An 18793-nucleotide genomic window follows, 5' to 3' on the forward strand; every position below is an offset into this window, starting at 1 on the left:
CTGTGTTACCTGACCTCTTTGCCTGTTACATTACTTTGTACTGTAAAAGTATTTGACCTTGTGTGTGTAATGGTTGCTGGGTCAGTGATAGGAGCTATGGTTTTGAAGGTGACTAACAGTGGTTATAATAAATTATTCTAGCTTCAGAGGACTACTCATTTCTTTGTATGTTTAGATGCAAAAGACACAGTTTAAACAATTAAGGAAATACCTTTGTAGCAAAGTACTCTGTGGAAGTGTTGCAAAGTATGGTCCCCATTGCATTTTCCTCTTCTTGGGGACCTGGGATTCAGTGAAATCCTTGATTTTTAATGTCTAAATGTTGTCCCTTCCAACTGGTTCTCTTTTTTACATATTTAAATGATTAGAATCTAAAAATTGAAAAGACTTTGTTGGCCCTCTTCCTTAATGGGCTCTATCTTGAGCACAGTGATTCAGTTGAAGAACAGAGACCAAATTAAAAGCTACGTCTCTAAATAAAAAACAGGTGCTGCAGAGGATGTGGAGAAATAGGAACACTTTTACAGTGTTGGTGGGACTGTAAACTATTCCAACCCTTGTGGAAGTCAGTGTGGTGATTGCTCAGGGATCTAGAAGTAGAAATACCATTTGACCCAGCCATCCCATTACTGGGTATATACCCAAAGGATTATAAATTATGCTGCTATAAAGACACATGCACAGATATGTTTATTGTGGCACTACTCACAATAGCAAAGACTTGGAGCCAACCCAAATGTCCAACAATGATAGACTGGATTAAGAAAATGTGGATCATGCACACCATGGAACACTATGCAGTCATAAAAAATGTTGAGTTCATGTCCTTTGCAGGGACATGGATGAAGCTGGAAACCATCATTCTCAGCAAACTATCACGAGGACAAAAAATCAAACACCGCATGTTCTCACTCATATGTGGGAGTTGAACAGTGAGAACACATGGACACAGGAAGGGGAACATCACACACCAGGGCCTGTTGTGGGGTGGGAAAAGGGGGGAGGGATAGCATTAGGAGATATACTTAATGTTAAATAATGAGTTAACGGGTGCAGCACACCAACATGACACATGTATACATATGTAACTAACCTGCACATTGTGCACATGTACCCTAAAACTTAAAGTCTAATAAGAAATAAATAAAACCCCATGGTAAATTTCTATTATTTTTGTGTTACCTTGGCATCTTTTTAATCTTCCTTGAACACACCAAATTTTTTCTTGAAAAAGCTTAAGTTCTCTCTCTCTCTCTCTTTGCTTTGAGATGTAAATGTGCTATGTATTTTCTCTAAAACTTGGTAAAGCCCTCCTCAGATAAATGTTAACCTTTACCATTTACAAGAAAGCAATTTGAATCCAACTATCCTTTAAAATGATGGGTTTTACTGATGTCATACCTAAAGCCCTAAAATCAAAATTCTAAAATCTTTTTGTCTCTATCTTTATGTGAACATATATATGTTATATATTTTATCACATACATGTTTATGTCACACATTTATATACTGTTGACACATAGTATCAAATTAATGTAAAAATAAATGGGTACATACAAATTAAGTGAATAAGCCCAAATGCTTTTCTATACATGTGATTTTAGTAACCTTTGGTGAATATAGATAGTTTTAAAATTGTTGGTAAAATAAAGTAGAAATGTCTTCATAATTTAATTTATACGTTTTTGCCTATGTCTGTTGGCAGGCAGGTTTATATTGTCTTTACTAGATGTTTTAAGGTCATCAAAGAGTTGCTTCCATATATATACATTTTCTTAATTTGTCTGTGAGCTTATGTCTTTATATTTGAAGCTTTAAATTCTGAGTTCTAGATGAGTGACCATAGTAAGAACTGGGGACAAAACCCATCCCATCCTCCAGCTGTGCCTTTTGGCCATGCTGGGAGAGGTGGGATTATCCAGGCATTTTCTTCATAGCTCTGTTCTTTGTCTTGGGCTTTGCATCTGGTACATAGTTAGAATGATTTACTCCCTAGTTTTTTTTCTACTGAGAATAAGGCTGTGTAAGTCTGTTTTTACATTGCTACAGACAAATACATGAACCTGAATAATTTATAAAGAAAAAAGGTCGAATGGTCTCATGATTCAGCAGGTTGTAGAGTAAGCATGATTCTGGCATCTGCTCAGCTTTCGAGGAGCCATCAGAAAACTTACAATCACGGAGAAAGCCAATGGTAGAGGAAGACATCTTATATAATGGGAGCTGGAGGAAGAGAGCAAGTGTTGCACACTGGTAAACAAACAGATAAAAACTCACTGTTGCTACAACAGCACCAAGGAGAAGGGCCTTAAAATATGAGAAACCACGTCCATGATCCAATCACATCCAACCAGGCTCCACCTCCAACTTTGGAGATTACAATTTGACTTGAGATTTAGGTGGGGGTAAAGTTCCAAAAAAGTATTATTCTCTCCATCATCCCTCCCAAATCTCATGTCTTTCTCACATTTAATAATATAAGAATGGCTTCCCAACAGTCTCTAGAGTCTTAACTCACTCAGCATTAACTCAGAAGTCCAAAATAGCAAGTTTCATCTGAGACAAGGCAAGTTCCTTTTACGTATGAGCCTGTAAATTCAAAAGCAAGTTAGTTACTTTCAAGACACAATGGAAGTATAGGCATTGGGTAAATACTCCCATTCCAAAGGGAAGAAATAGGCTGAAGGAAATAAGATACAGGCCCCATGAAAGTCTGAAACCTTGCAGCACAGTCTTTAAAATTTAAAGCTCCGAAATAATCTCCTTTGACCCCATATCTCATATTCAGGGCACACTGATGTAAGGCTTAGGCTTCCAAGGTTCTGGGCATCACAGGAACATTCCAAGAGAGTCACAAAAGAATTTGTAGTGTGGCTTTTGATGCTAAACAGTGTATTAGACCGAGTAAGTCACTGAAGAGAAAAAAGTCAGAGGAGAAGATGGGTGAGGGTGACAGAAATGGAATGGTGAAAGGAAAGTTCTGACAAAAATGTTTATCGGCTGGGCATGGTGGCTCACGCCTGTAATCCCAGCACTTTGGGAGGCCGAGGTGGGCAGATCACGAGGTCAGGAGTTTGAGACCAGCCTGACCAACATGGTGAAACCCCATCTCTACTAAAAATACAAAAATTAGCCAGATGTGGTGGCACACACCTGTAATCCCAGCTACTCAGGAGGCTAAAGGGAGGAGAATCACTTGAACTTGGGATGTGGAGGTTGCAGTGAGCTGAGATCACAGCATTGCACTCCAGCCTGGGTGACAGAGTGAGACTCCATCCCAAAAAAAAAACAAAAGTTTACCCAGGGGCTCATCTGGTACCTTGCTCTGTGACTAATATCTTACACATTTTGATTTACTCTTCCACTTTCATTTTCTGATGCGCAAAGTGTCACCCTTCTGCTGAAGATGAGAAAAGAGGCTGAGGGAGCCAAATGAGTGGTCTAGAGTCATCCAGCTACTTCATAGAGTTTGTGTCTTTTACCTTGACGTTTGTGCACAGACAGAAAAGTGAGACACAGAAGGAAGGCAAAGCAAGTTTTTGTTGTGGGTGACATTTATGAAAGTTACCTGTGTTGGCAGAATAATGGACTCCTAAAATGTTTGCACCCTAGCTCTGGAACCTGTGCATTTACTTTTCTTGGTAAAAACATGGTGCAGCGGTGATAAAATTAAAATCTTAAGATGTGGACGTTGTTCTAGATTATCTGGGTGGGCCCATTGTAATCAGAAGTGTCCTTGTAAGTGACAAAGAAAAGCAGGGGGGTCAGTGTGAGAATGATGAGCCTGTGAGACTCCACTGGCCAATGCTGGGTGTGAGCATGCATCAAAAGACAAAATTACAACTAATGTAGTTATAGATTTTATTTTTCATTTATTATTTGAGGCAGCTCTCACTCTACAAATATAGTGACAGCCCTCCCTGAGCTATACAATAACAAAACAGTGGGTTTTGTCAAGTGGGAACCAGTAAACAAAGCCATATAAATAAATAAATTGGTGAACATTAGGGTACTTCAGGTCTCTTTTCTGTAAAAGTTAAAGCAGAGGAAACTTTTATTATGCTATCTCAGGTAGAGTGGAATCTCCTCTTTTCAACAAAAAACAAAGGTCTGTTCTGGTATCTCTTTGCTTCATTAAAATTTCAGTTGTAGACTGTAGCATTTAGCAGGAGTGGTTCTATTTTGGAGTCTCTAGGCTCTCACTTAGGTGAGAGTGTGACCAAAATTTAAAGCATTGGCATTCATCTCAGTAACCATCATATTGGGCTTCCATCATTTATAAGTTTATGATGTCTTCCTGATCACACATTTCTTTGAGTTTTTGTCATTTCAGCCAAAGAGAGACCCTTTGGTATTTGTTGATGGCTGCACACAAAACTTTTTAAAAACTTTTGTAGAATTCACCACACCAAAATATAGAATTTTAAAACCTATAGAATTTATCACACCAGAGATGCTACTAGTATGACTATCAGGAGGATAACACCAAAAGTTTGGAGTATGCACTTTAGGCAAGATGCAAACCAAGTAAAATAGAATAGATCAAAGAATGAGCCAGAAGAGTCTAGCAATTTTAACCAAGTAGTATGTTTGGTAACTTCTGTGATTGAGTCATTATTATACTCGATGTATTTCTTTATGTGCAACAGTCAGTGTCAGAAACTGCACAGGCTCCTCCCTGTTCAGCTGGTAGGGAACAATTTTATTATGTAGCATTCGACGGCTCATTAAATTAAAACAGGGAGTGAGAACAAGTGAGTCTGAAAATGTAACTTTAAAAGGGACCACTGTACATTTGAAGAAACAAGTGTGTTAAAGATGCTGCTAATGTCAGCCGTTGGGTGGACTAAATGATATCTTATGTAAAAATTTGAGGGTGACATGATATATCTGTCACTCTGTTACGCTACTCTCAGAAGCTACTTCATGTGAAATTCTAATGATACCATCATCGTGCCACGTGAAAGAGGCAGGCATAAGCATGGACAAATTAAGAGGGCTAAGAGCCTGATTTTGATGTGGAGACTTGTTCTGACAACTTGGGAAAAGCTTTTGACAGTGTGAAGTTGTCAACTTCTTATCCTGGTTTTAAGTTTGAGTGTCTGTAGTTATGGTGTCAAACATATTGGTGAGCTCTGAGTGACTCATACCTCAGGCACGAGGGTTTTCCCGTGAAATTTACATTGAGCTTTCCACCTCCAACTTATAGGGCTTCAGGAACAAAGCAGATTTTGTTCTTACTGATTCAATAAGAGAAAACTGGATGGGAGGAAATAGAAGAATTCAGGGTCTAGTCCAGTCTACCGGTGAATAATAAAAACTCAAAAACAATGAACAGAGCTGCAATTTCATAGCAGGTATACTACACTTTTTATTTTCAACATTATTTTTCTCTCTATAGGCATATCTATTTTTACCAAAGAGAATCCCAGTAGGACAAATTCGTTTCCAAAGTAGGTTTAGTCTTATCAGACTTTGCCGGGATTCTTTACATAAGTGCATCAAGAGTAACAATGGACCACAGAGGCTCTTCCTAAAGTTTGCTTCCCTAGAAGTTTTTATAAGGAGTCTCAGATTAAACTTTTACAAGCCTCTTGAGATGAGGAAGCCAAATGAAGGCCATCTTCAGCCTTTGCATGCAGTACTTATGGGTCCATTCTATGTATATTCTCAAATATAACATCTTAGTCAAAGCCTTGGTAATATAACCAATGTTTTGAAACGTGTCCTTTTGTAAAGAGAGAAGACTCTTACTAAACTTGTGCAAATAACTGTATTAGCATAATCATATGAATACTCATGAATAGTTTCCCAATCCTGGGACAGTTAGGAAAAGAGCAAAAATAAATGGGCTTCAATTATTGTTTCCAAAAGTATACTTTACCAAATTGCTTTAGATATAGATAGCTTAAAAGAAGAAAAATTCCATAAATCTGGAAAAAATCATTTAAAGAATCAGCAAATTTTCAAATAAAAATTATAAAAACATTATCCACATTATCATTTATTTCAATGAAATTATATTTGTTCTGCTTGGTCTCAGTGGGCATATTTCATGAAGGCATCAACCTGTTTGTTAAAGTTTTGGAAGTCTATAGACAGTCCAGTGATATAACCTTGAACTGCTCAGAAACTTGTATGCAAGAGTACTTGTCAGTATCTTTTCCATAAATCTTTTGAAATAGAAGCAATTTTGGACTGTAGCTGATTGCAGATGCTTTCAGGAAGAATCAAAACAACTATCTGTGAATTACCAACATGTAAAATGACTATTGCTAAAACTCTGATAAGAGTTTGGTATAATAAAGAGAGTAACTCTGGCCAGTACACCAGTCATGATGCTGACAGTGGCCCCAACTGAGAGACCAAAAGAACTTTCTTGTCCTGAAGCAGCTGTCATGGAAAAAAAAAAAAAAAAGAAGAGAAGGAATAAATTATAAAGACAGCAAGGGTTTTAGCCAATTATTTTTTGAGATAGGGTCTCACTCTGTTGCCTAGGCTGGAGTGCAGTGGTGCAATCTCAGCTCACTGCAACCTGTGCCTCCCAGGCTCAAGCAGTCCCCCCACCTCACTCTCCTGAGTAGCTGGGACTACAGGCACACACCACCATGTATGCTTAATGTTTGTATTTTTTGTAGAGATGGGCTTTTACCATGTTGTTGAGGCTTGTTTTGAACTCCTGGACTCAAGTTATCCACCCGCCTTGGCTTCCCAAAGTGCAGGGATTACAGGTGTGAGCCACCGCTCCTGCTGGTTTCATGCTTTTTATAATAAGAATGAACTCCTTATGTAATAATAAATAAAAAGAAATTATTTGCTTTGGATGTAGCAAATGTAGATTGACCAGAGTCAGGAGCTAAGCCTCATATTTTTTTTGGCTTTAGCTCAGTGTAGAGTGCATTGAAGGTGTCCCAAAAATAATTCCATATAGTAAGCCAACTTTAAACCCTGCTCACAGCCAGATCTGCCAAGTATGAGCCAGGTAAAATTACCAAAAAGGGTGGTTCTGACTGACTCCTTAACAATAATGTGGCTTACAAACAAAGACTGATATGAAATAGTCGATCCAACCCAAACACTTTGCTCATTTCCCAAAATTTTCTATACAAACATATACAACTTATCACAACATAAAGAACATAATGAAAGGTTTGCCTTTTATTCGTTTAAATGACCATATGTTTAGATCTGATGTACTGACAGCGATAATTCTCCATTAAGCAGAAACCTAATAAAATTTGAAAAATAGTGATTTTATCTTTAGATGATACTCAGATCTTCTGCTACATATGTGGAAAATGGAATTATTGCTAGAAACATTGTTTAAAGATTAGGGTATGAAAGGAGTATTAGGAAGTCAGGAGGTTCTTTCTTTAGGAAGCAGCTTATCTGGATTCATTCAAAGAGCTTTATGCGAGTTTGAGGTCTTTCTGCAAAATGTAAATTGCTATCTGAGAAACCATATATAGTCCAATGATGAAAGAATGCAAAGCCTTAGAAGCACCGGAGACAATTCCAGTATCTTCCCTAAAGTTCTGACAAAAAGGAAAATAACTATCAAATTATTCAACTCGAATGCTTATTATGTATGTATAAGTCAGTTGGCAGACGAAGAGAGGAGGGAAATATGACTTCTACCCCTAGGGAACACATAGTCTTGTGGGGCCACTAGGGGTGGTGGTGTGACCTGCCTGGAGCAGCGCTAAATATGGACTTGTGAGTGAAGGGCTATCAAAACCTAAGTAAACTGATTGCCGTTCAGAGAAGGTAGAGTTCCATTCCACAGTTTGCAAGAAGGACTATTTCATGGAGGAGGTCATGTTGGACTAGACCTTAAAAAGTTGGTAGAATTTAAAAGCAAGGATATGGAAGCAGGAAGAGTGAAAGTGAGCAGAGGTACAGAAGTGAGGCAAGGCTGAGCAGTGTTAATTTTTTAATGGTGGTATTATAAAACACACATCAAAATTTGCCATATTATTATTATTATTTTGTAGACAGTGTCTGGCTCTGTTGCCCAGGCTGGAGTGCAGTAGCTCAATCATGGCTCACTGTAGCCTCCACCTCCTGGGCTCAAGCAATCCTCGTACCTCAGCCTGCTGAGTAGCTGGGACCACAAGCATATACCACCATGCCCAGCTAATTTTTATATTTTTGGGAGTGACGAGTTCTTCCTATGTTGCCCAGGCTGGTCTCGCACTCCTGGACTCAAATGATCCACCTGCCTTAGCTCCAAAGTGCTGGGACTACAGGTATGAGCCACTGCACCTGACCCCATCTTAAAAATTTTTAAGTGCACCGTTTAGAAATACATTTGCATTATGCAACCATCAGCGCCACCCATCTTCAGAGAGTATTTTTCATCTTGTAACAGGGAAAATTCATATCCATGAAACACTAACTCCTCATTCTTCCTCCTCCCCACCCCAGGTAACAACTATTTCAGTGTCTCTATGATTTTGACTGCTCTAGGGACTTCTATAAATGAGATCATACACTGTGTATCTTTTTGTGACTTAGCATAATGTCCTCAAGGTTCATTCATGTTGTAATATATGTGAGAATTTTTTTCCTTTTGAAGGCTGAATAATATTTCACTGTATGGATAGACCACATTTTGTTTATCCATTCATCTATCCATGGACAATTGGGTTGCCTTCACTTTTTGGCTATTGTAAATAATGCTGCTATAAACATTGAGGTACCAAAACCTGTTTGGGTCTCTGCTCTCAATTATTTTGGGTTTATACCCAGGAGTGGAATGGCCAGGTCATACAGTACCTCTAGTTTTAGTTTTCTGAGGAACCGCCATAATGTTTTTCACAGTGGTTGCACCATTTTAATTCTTATGAATAGTGCACAGGGGTTCCAATTGTTCCACAGTCTCATTAACACTTATTATTTTCTGGGGTTTTTGCTTTGTGTTTGGGAGTAGCCATTTAAATTGGCATAAGGTATAATTTCATTGTGGTTTGCATTTTCATTTCCTTAATGATTAGTGATATTGATCAATATTTTATATGCTTGCTGGCCATTTGTACATCTTCTTTGGAGAAATGGGAGGGACAGATCCCTCCCATTGAATAGATTAATGTCCTCTCCTGATGGTGAATGAATTCTTCCTCTATTAGTTCCTGCAAGACCTGGTTGTTAAAAGAGCAGGCCACCGCCCCGGTTTCTCTCTTGCTCCCTTGCTCATGTAATCTCTGCACATGTTGGCTTCCCCTCCTCTTCTGCGATGAGTGGGAGCAGGCTGTGGCCATCACCAGATGAAGATGCCCAATTTTGAACTTTCCAGCCACCAGAATCATAAGCCAAATCATCCCTTTTCCTTTATAAATTATCCAGCCTCAGGTATTCTTTATAGCAACACAAAAGGGACAAGGACTTTTTATATCTTGCCCCACTGTCTTCTAGCATTTCATGTGTCACATAAAGAAATCTTAGCCTCCTAGGTTTTTTTTTTCTGAATATCCACAGAATTCTTTCCATAACTTCAAATACCAGGAATTTATTGGGGTATTTGTTAATTATTCAATATAAACACAGCCTTGTAATTCTTGGGCTATTTCTGTCTGCAGATTCAAATTTCACTGTATTTCAGGAATTTCACCTTGAATTGTATCTTTGAAAATTTGTTTTCATGTTCCATTCATTTTTTAACCCATGCAAGGCATTTGGTGTTAATGATATTTGATCTCTTCCCTACCACCCCTCCCATCCCCCTCTTTTTCTCTATCTCTGTCTTCCGTCTTTTACTTTTTGTTCTTTTCCATCTCACATGCTCATTTTTTCTTCTCAAAACCATCCTTTGAATTCCTTCAGTGGTGTCTCATCTCCCTTTTGCTGCTTCTATCATGACCTTTGATTTTAGTCTCTTTTTGTGTGTCTCTCTCTGAGATTCTGAGGCTCTGCCTATTCTGTTTTTATTCTCATTTGTTTCTAATTTGTTTCCAAGACTCTGTCTACTCCCTTTTCATTCTCATTTATTACTAATTTATTTCTGAGGCTTTACCCACCCACTTTTCATTCCCGTCTAACCTAATGTATTATCAGTTCTTCCTTAAAGCCTTATATTGCTTCTTTAAATTCTCATTTCAGAGAAACAATATTGTCTTTAATTGATTCCTTAGAAATAACTTTGTTCATGGTTTTTGGCTGCGTTGTGGTATATAATCTTTCTGTTTCTCATCTTCATAAATCATGTTCTGTTCTTCTTTTTTCATTTCAGCATCATTTTAAAGGCCCCCGGCTGGCTCCACCCTTTTTAAGTAGCATTGTTCCTCATCTTTTTGGACTAGAATTTTGGGCAAAGTTCTGGTGAAAGGGGAAGAGGAATGTGCTAAACAAATGGGAAGATTGGGTTTCAATCTGTTATCTCTAGGATGTTTCTCAGCTGGACTTGGCCTGTGGGTTATCTGGTCCAGCATAGCAGGACATCTTCCAGGCTCACAAGGAGGTTGTGCATTTTACAGAACATTTTAATGTGATTATTTTACCTTCACTTATCTTCACCAGGCAGCTTTGGGCAAAGACGGCCAGGTAGCTTTTATCTTATTGACTCTTCCTTCTATCCTATACCATGATTGAAACATGATGTAGGCTTCCAAAACCAGGCCATGAACCTTGATCTTAACTTTCTAAGCATGGGATAGACACATTTCCTTTCAATGTGTGCCACCCATCCACTTTGGATAACTATGAGCTGGGTCAACTGTGCCTGAGTCACACATAGAAAGACACCTTCTCTTGGAGTTCCCAAATACCTCCATCCACTTCTCATACACTTGGCTGTCTTCCTGCATCTACAGTGATCCAGTGTTATAGGGGATCTGTAGCTTCATCAAAGATAACATTTGTTTGTTTCTCCTTCTCTTGTTTGCTTTGGATTGGTTTCATAAAGGAAATGAGACGAAAATATACTTATACTACGATTTTAAAAGAAAAGATAAATTCCTTCTTTCAAATTCATTCCTTTTTGTTTCTTTCCAATGAATCTCATGGGGTGAGGGGAGGACTGAAGAGAATGTCCAATCTACTCAAATCCAAAAAGTCACAGGTATAAGGCACAGAAAATTTTACCAGTCTAATGATGGCAGTTTTAATGCTATATAAGGACAGACTATGCAAAAATGCTATTAATGAGGATGAGGAGCTACAGGAACAAACCTGATGAGGAACTGTAATTCTATTAGAGGGATGTATATAGCCATCATTTTTTTCTTTAATCCAAAACAATTAGATTGCTTATGTAGACAGCCACATGCTATTTGATTGAAATGCACCAGAGGATGCAGATATATATATATATCCTTTTACCTTAATTTCCATTTTATTCTTTCTCTCCCTTTTTTTTCATTTATTATTATACTTTAAGTTTTAGGGTACATGTGCACATTGTGCAGGTTAGTTACATATGTATACATGTGCCATGCTGGTGCACTGCACCCACTAACTCGTCATCTAGCATTAGGTATATCTCCCAGTACTATCCCTCCCCCCTCCCCCCACCCCACAACAGTCCCCAGAGTGTGATGTTCCCCTTCCTGTGTCCATGTGATCTCATTTTTCAATTCCCACCTATGAGTGAGAATAGGCAGTGTTTGGTTTTTTGTTCTTGCGACAGTTTACTGAGAATGATGATTTCCAATTTCATCCATGTCCCTGCAAAGGACATGAACTCATCATTTTTTATGGCTGCATAGTATTCCATGGTGTATATGTGCCACATTTTCTTAATTCAGTCTATCATTGTTGGACATTTGGGTTGGCTCCAAGTCTTTGCTATTGTGAATAGTGCCACAATAAACATACGTGTGCATGTGAATTTATAGCAGCATGATTTATAGTCCTTTGGGTATATACCCAGTAATGGGATGGCTGGGTCAAATGGTATTTCTAGTTCTAGATCCCTGAGGAATCCCACACTGACTTCCACAATGGTTGAACTAGTTTACAGTCCCACCAACAGTGTAAAAGTGTTCCTATTTCTACACATCCTCTCCTGCACCTGTTGTTTCCTGACTTTTTAATGATTGCCATTCTAACTGGTGTGAGATGGTATCTCATTGTGGTTTTGATTTGCATTTCTCTGATGGCCAATGATGATGAGCATTTTTTCATGTGTTTTTTGGCTGCATAAATGTCTTCTGTTGAGAAGTGTCTGTTCATGTCCTTTGCCCACTTTTTGATGGGGTTGTTTTTTTTTTCTTGTAAATTTGTTTGAGTTCATTGTAGATTCTGGATATCAGCCCTTTGTCAGATGAGTAGGTTGTGAAAATTTTCTCCCATTTTGTAGGTTGCCTGTTCACTCTGATGGTAGTTTCTTTTGCTGTGCAGAAGCTCTTTAGTTTAATTAGATCCCATTTGTCAATTTTGGCTTTTGTTGCCATTGCTTTTGGTGTTTTAGACATGAAGTCCTTGCCCATGCCTATGTCCTGAATGGTATTGCCTAGGTTTTCTTCTAGGGTTTTTACAGTTTTAGGTCTAACGTTTAAGTCTTTAATCCATCTTGAATTGATTTTTGTATAAGGTGTAAGGAAGGGATCCAGTTTCAGCTTTCTACATATGGCTAGCCAGTTTTCCCAGCACCATTTATTAAATAGGGAATCCTTTCCCCATTGCTTGTTTTTCTCAGGTTTGTCAAAGATCAGATAGTTGTAGATATGCGGCATTATTTCTGAGGGCTCTGTTCTGTTCCATTGATCTATACCTCTGTTTTGGTACCAGTACCATGCTGTTTTGGTTACTGTAGCCTTGTAGTATAGTTTGAAGTCAGGTAGTGTGATGCCTCCAGCTTTGTTCTTTTGGCTTAGGATTGACTTGGCGATGTGGGCTCTTTTTTGGTTCCATATGAACTTTAAAGTAGTTTTTTCCAATTCTGTGAAGAAAGTCATTGGTAGCTTGATGGGGATGGCATTGAATCTGTCAATTACCTTGGACAGTATGGCCATTTTCATGATATTGATTCTTCCTACCCATGACCATGGAATGTTCTTCCATTTGTTTGTATCCTCTTTTATTTCCTTGAGCAGTGGCTTGTAGTTCTCCTTGAAGAGGTCCTTCACATCCCTTGTAAGTTGGATTCCTAGGTATTTTATTCTCTTTGAAGCAATTGTGAATGGGAGTTCACTCATGATTTGGCTCTCTGTTTGTCTGTTGTTGGTGTATAAGAATGCTTGTGATTTTTGTACATTGATTTTGTATCCTGAGACTTTGCTGAAGTTGCTTATCAGCTTAAGGAGATTTTGGGCTGAGACAATGGGGTTTTCTAGATATACAATCATTCCATCTGCAAAGAGGGACAATTTGACTTCCTCTTTTCCTAATTGAATGCCCTTTATTTCCTTCTCCTGCCTAATTGCCCTGGCCAGAACTTCCAACACTATGTTGAATAGTAGTGGTGAGAGAGTGCATCCCTGTCTTGTGCCAGTTTTCAAAGGGAATGCTTCCAGTTTTTGCCCATTCAGTATGATATTGGCTGTGGGTTTGTCATAGATAGCTCTTATTATTTTGAAATACATCCCATCAATACCTAATTTATTGAGAGTTTTTAGCATGAAGCGTTGTTGAATTTTGTCAAAGGCCTTTTCTGCATCTATTGAGATAATCATGTGGTTTTTGTCTTTGGCTCTGTCTATATGCTGGATTACATCTATTGATTTGTGTATATTGAACCAGCCTTGCATCCCAGGGATGAAGCCCACTTGATCATGGTGGATAAGCTTTTTGATGTGCTGCTGGATTCTTTTTGCCAGTATTTTATTGAGGATTTTTGCATCAATGTTCATCAAGGATATTGGTCTAAAATTCTCTTTTTTTGTTGTGCCTCTGCCAGGCTTTGGTATCAGAATGATGCTGGCCTCATAAAATGAGTTAGGGAGGATTCCCTCTTTTTCTATTGGTTGAATAATTTCAGAAGGAATGGTACCACTTCCTCCTTGTACCTCTGGTAGAATTCGGCTGTGAATTCATCTGGTCCTGGACCCTTTTTGGTTGGTAAGCTATTGATTATTGCCACAATTTCAGCTCCTGTTATTGGTCTATATAGAGATTCAACTTCTTCCTGGTTTAGTCTTGGAATAGAGTATGTGTCGAGGAATTTATCCATTTCTTCTAGATTTTCTAGTTTATTTGCATAGAGGTGTTTGTAGTATTCTCTGATGGTAGTTTGTATTTCTGTGGGATCGGTGGTGATATCCCCTTTATCATTTTTTATTGTGTCTATTTGATTCTTCTCTCTTTTTTTCTTTATTAGTCTTGCTAGCGGTCTATCTATTTTGTTGATCCTTTCAAAAAACCAGCTCCTGGATTCATTAATTTTTTGAAGGGTTTTTTGTGTCTCTATTTCCTTCAGTTCTGCTCTGATTTTAGTTATTTCTTGCCTCCTGCTAGCTTTTGAATGTGTTTGCTCTTGCTTTTCTAGTTCTTTTAATTGTGATGTTAGGGTGTCAATTTTGGATCTTTCCTGCTTTCTCCTGTGGGCATTTAGTGCTATAAATTTCCCTCTACACACTGCTTTGAATGCATCCCAGAGATTCTGGTATGTTGTGTCTTTGTTCTCGTTGGTTTCAAAGAACATCTTTATTTCTGCCTTCATTTTGTTATGTACCCAGTAGTCATTCAGGAGCAGGTTGTTCAGTTTCCATGTAGTTGAGCGGTTTTGAGTGAGATTCTTAATCCTGAGTTCTAGTTTGATTGCACTGTGGTCTGAGAGATAGTTTGTTATAATTTCTGTTCTTTTACATTTGCTGAGGAGAGCTTTACTTCCAAGTATGTTGTCAATTTTGGAATAGGTGTGGTGTGGTGCTGAAAAAAATGTATATTCTGTTGATTTGGGGTGGAGAGTTCTGTAGATGTCTATTAGGTCCACTTGGTGCAGAGCTGAGTTCAATTCCTGGGTATCCTTAACTTTCTGTCTCATTGATCTGTCTAATGTTGACAGTGGGGTGTAAAGTCTCCCATTATTAATGTGTGGTAGTCTAAGTCTCTTTGTAGGTCACTCAGGACTTGCTTTATGAATCTGGATGCTCCTGTATTGGGTGCATATATATTTAGGATAGTTAGCTGTTCTTGTTGAATTGATCCCTTTACCATTATGTAATGGCCTTCTTTGTCTCTTTTGATCTTTGTTGGTTTAAAGTCTGTTTTATAAGAGACTAGGACTGCAACCCCTGCCTTTTTTTGTTTTCCATTTGCTTGGTAGATCTTCCTCCATCCTTTTATTTTGAGCCTATGTGTGTCTCTGCACGTGAGATGGGTTTCCTGAATACAGCACACTGATGGGTCTTGACTCTTTATCCAATTTACCAGTCTGTGTCTTTTAATTGGAGAATTTAGTCCATTTACATTTAAAGTTAATATTGTTATGTGTGAACTTGATCCTGTCATGATGATGTTAGCTGGTTATTTTTCTCATTAGTTGATGCAGTTTCTTCCTAGTCTCGATGGTCTTTACATTTTGGCATGATTTTGCAGCGGCTGGTACTGGTTGTTCCTTTCCATGTTTAGCACTTCCTTCAGGAGCTCTTTTAGGGCAGGTCTGGTGGTGACAAAATCTCTCAGCATTTGCTTGTCTGTAAAGTATTTTATTTCTCCTTCACTTATGAAGCTTAGTTTGGCTGGATATGAAATTCTGGGTTGAAAATTCTTTTCTTTAAGAATGTTGCATATTGGCCCCCACTCTCTTCTGGCTTGTAGGGTTTCTGCTGAGAGATCTGCTGTTAGTCTGATGGGCTTCCCTTTGAGGGTAACCCAACCTTTCTCTCTGGCTGCCCTTAACATTTTTTCCTTCTTTTGAACTTTGGTGAATCTGACAATTATGTGTCTTGGAGTTGCTCTTCTCGAGGAGTATCTTTGTGGCGTTCTCTGTATTTCCTGAATCTGAACGTTGGCCTGCCTTGCTAGATTGGGGAATTTCTCCTGGATAATATCCTGCAGAGTGTTTTCCAACTTGGTTCCATTCTCCCCATCACTTTCAGGTACACCAATCAGACGTAGATTTGGACTTTTCACATAGTCCCATATTTCTTGGAGGCTTTGTTCATTTCTTTTTATTCTTTTTTCTCTAAACTTCCCTTCTCGCTTCATTTCATTCATTTCATCTTCCATTGCTGATACCCTTTCTTCCAGTTGATCGCATTGGCTCCTGAGGCTTCTGCATTCTTCACGTAGTTCTCAAGCCTTGGTTTTCAGCTCCATCAGCTCCTTTAAGCACTTCTCTGTATTGGTTATTCTAGTTATACATTCTTCTAAATTTTTTTCAAAGTTTTCAACTTCTTTGCCTGTTGAAACTTTTTTCAAAGTTTTCAACTTCTTTGAATGTCCTCCCGTAGCTCAGAGTAATTTGATCGTCTGAAGTCTTCTTCTCTCAGCTCGTCAAAGTCGTTCTCTGTCCAGCTTTGTTCCGTTGCTGGTGAGGAACTACGTTCCTTTGGAGGAGGAGAGGCGCTCTGCTTTTTAGAGTTTCCAGTTTTTCTGTTCTGTTTTTTCCCCATCTTTGTGGTTTTATCTATTTTTGGTCTTTGATGATGGTGATGTACAGTTGGGTTTTTGGTGTGGATGTCCTTTCTGTTAGTTAGTTTTCCTTCTAACAGACAGGACCCTCAGCTGCAGGTCTGTTGGAGTACCCTGCCACGTGAGGTGTCAGTGTGCCCCTGCTGGGGGGTGCCTCCCAGTTAGGCTGCTTGGGGGTCAGGGGTCAGGGACCCACTTGAGGAGGCAGTCTGCCCATTCTCAGATCTCCAGCTGCGTACTGGAAGAACCACTGCTCTCTTCAAAGCTGTCAGACAGGGACATTTAAGTCTGCAGAGGTTACTGCTGTCTTTTTGTTTGTCTGTGCCCTGCCCCCAGAGGTGGAGCCTACAGAGGCAGGCAGGCCTCCTTGAGCTATGGTGGGCTCCACCCAGTTCCCTCTTCCAGGCTGCTTTGTTTACCTAAGCAAGCCTGGGCAATGGAGGGCGCCCCTCCCCCAGCCTCGCTGCCGCCTTGCAGTTTGATCTCAGACTGCTGTGCTAGCAATCAGCGAGACTCTGTGGGCATAGGACCCTCCGAACCAGGTGTGGGATATAATCTCGTGGTGCGCCCTTTTTTAAGCCCGTCGGAAAAGCCCAGTATTCGGGTAGGAGTGACCCGATTTTCCAGGTGCCATCTGTCACCCCTTTCTTTGACTAGGAAAGGGAACTCCCTGACCCCTTGTGCTTCCTGAGTGAGGCAATGCCTCACCCTGATTCGGCTCGTGCACGGTGCATGCACCCACTGTCCTGCGCCCACTGTCTTGCACTCCCTAGTGAGATGAACCCGGTACCTCAGATGGAAATGCAGACATCACCCATCTTCTGTGTCACTCACGCTGGGAACTGTAGACCAGAGCTGTTCCTATTCGGCCATCTTGGCTCCTTCCCCAGTTGTTTTTTTTTTAATCTGTAAAAACGGGGATGGTGGCACTTGGGATTTTTTTTTTTTTTTTTTTTTGAGACGGAGTCTCGCTGTGTCTCCCAGGTTGGAGTGCAGTGGCGCGATCTCGGCTCACTGCAAGCTCCGCCTCCCAGGTTCATGCCATTCTCCTGCCTCAGCCTCCCAAGTAGCTGGGACTACAGGCGCCCGCCAACACGCCCGGCTAATTTTTTGTATTTTTAGTAGAAACGGGGTTTCACCGTGTTAGCCAAGATGGTCTCGATCTCCTGACCTAGTGATCCGCCCGTCTCGGCCTCCCAAAGTGCTAGGATTACAGGCATGAGCCACCGCGCCCGGCCCGCACTTGGGATTTTTTGGTGAGGACTGTAGTTACCTGGAAAGGCCTTAGGATAGTGCCTGGTACATAGTGAGTGCTGCATCAGTGTGAGCTATTATAATTATGGGAATAGACAAAGGTGCCACCCTGGCCATCCAGAGTGGGGAGGTATTTTCCAGTCAGGGTCCAGGCAGGCCAGCTGGAGATGAAGCTGATTAGTGGGGAAGCTTAACTTCCAGGAGTGGAAGAATTTAGGAGGAGTAAACAGAATGCACAACATTCTGTAAACATTCCTTTACCCAACAGTAGGAATGCTCATAGTGGGTGTGGCTTCCGTGACAATCATTATCTCTTGGGAATTTAAGAATGTGTCCTAGAGTCAAATGGCTTTGATGTAAGCCAAACCCAGAAATGGGCTTCAGGTCTGCCTTACACATAGCATTCATTCATCTTGAAAAAGGAAAGCATTCATCTTGCTAAAGGAATCCCCTCTTCTGGCCCAGGTCATTATTTTTGTTTTTGTACTGTCCTAATTTTTAAGGTGTAAGGAGAAAGACCAAAGAATAAAATAATGAAGTACATGTATGAAATAACAGGGTAGAATTGAGACTGGTACGTGTAAGTTAAGAGAAATTGTGTATAAATTTTGTGTGAATAGAAAAAGGATTTCTTGTTGCAAACAGACCTCTCTATATAAATAATACCCATTGCCTTCAGTGGATAGCAGACTGCATCACAAGAACATTCCAGCAGAGTCACGAGAGAATGGGTAGTGTGGCTTCTGTAATTGGCAGGTTAGACAGAGTAAGTTACTGAAGAGAAAGGAGTTGAAGGAGAAGATGGGTGAGGGCAAGAAAAATGGGAAGGTGAAAGGAAAGAACTGAAAGGAATGTTTACCAAGGGCTCATCAGGTACCAGGCTCTGTGATTAATGTCTCACACATGTTAATTTACTCTTCCACTGTCATTTTCTGATGCAGTAAGAGTCAGTCTTACACTGCAGATGAGGAAAGAGGCTGAAGGAGGTCAAACGAGTGGCCCAGGGTCATCCAGCCACTTCATAGCA

The 18793-nt window shown here is 39.8% G+C and overlaps 1 long non-coding RNA gene across 1 annotated transcript in view; it reads right to left on the reverse strand.

Moving 5' to 3' along the window:
- LOC284344 (uncharacterized) overlaps positions 1-17941 on the reverse strand; it is a 36856-nt gene extending 18915 nt beyond the window's left edge. Inside the window, exons 1-3 of the long non-coding RNA NR_033888.1 lie at positions 17786-17941; positions 17303-17418; positions 2519-2589 (exon numbers count right to left, since the gene is read on the reverse strand). This is a non-coding gene — a long non-coding RNA (uncharacterized LOC284344). The remainder of the gene's footprint in view (positions 1-2518; positions 2590-17302; positions 17419-17785) is intronic.
- Positions 17942-18793: the final 852 nt, after the last annotated feature.

This window comes from Homo sapiens, chromosome 19 (genome assembly GCF_000001405.40).
Source record: "Homo sapiens chromosome 19, GRCh38.p14 Primary Assembly".
NCBI lineage: Eukaryota > Metazoa > Chordata > Mammalia > Primates > Hominidae > Homo > Homo sapiens.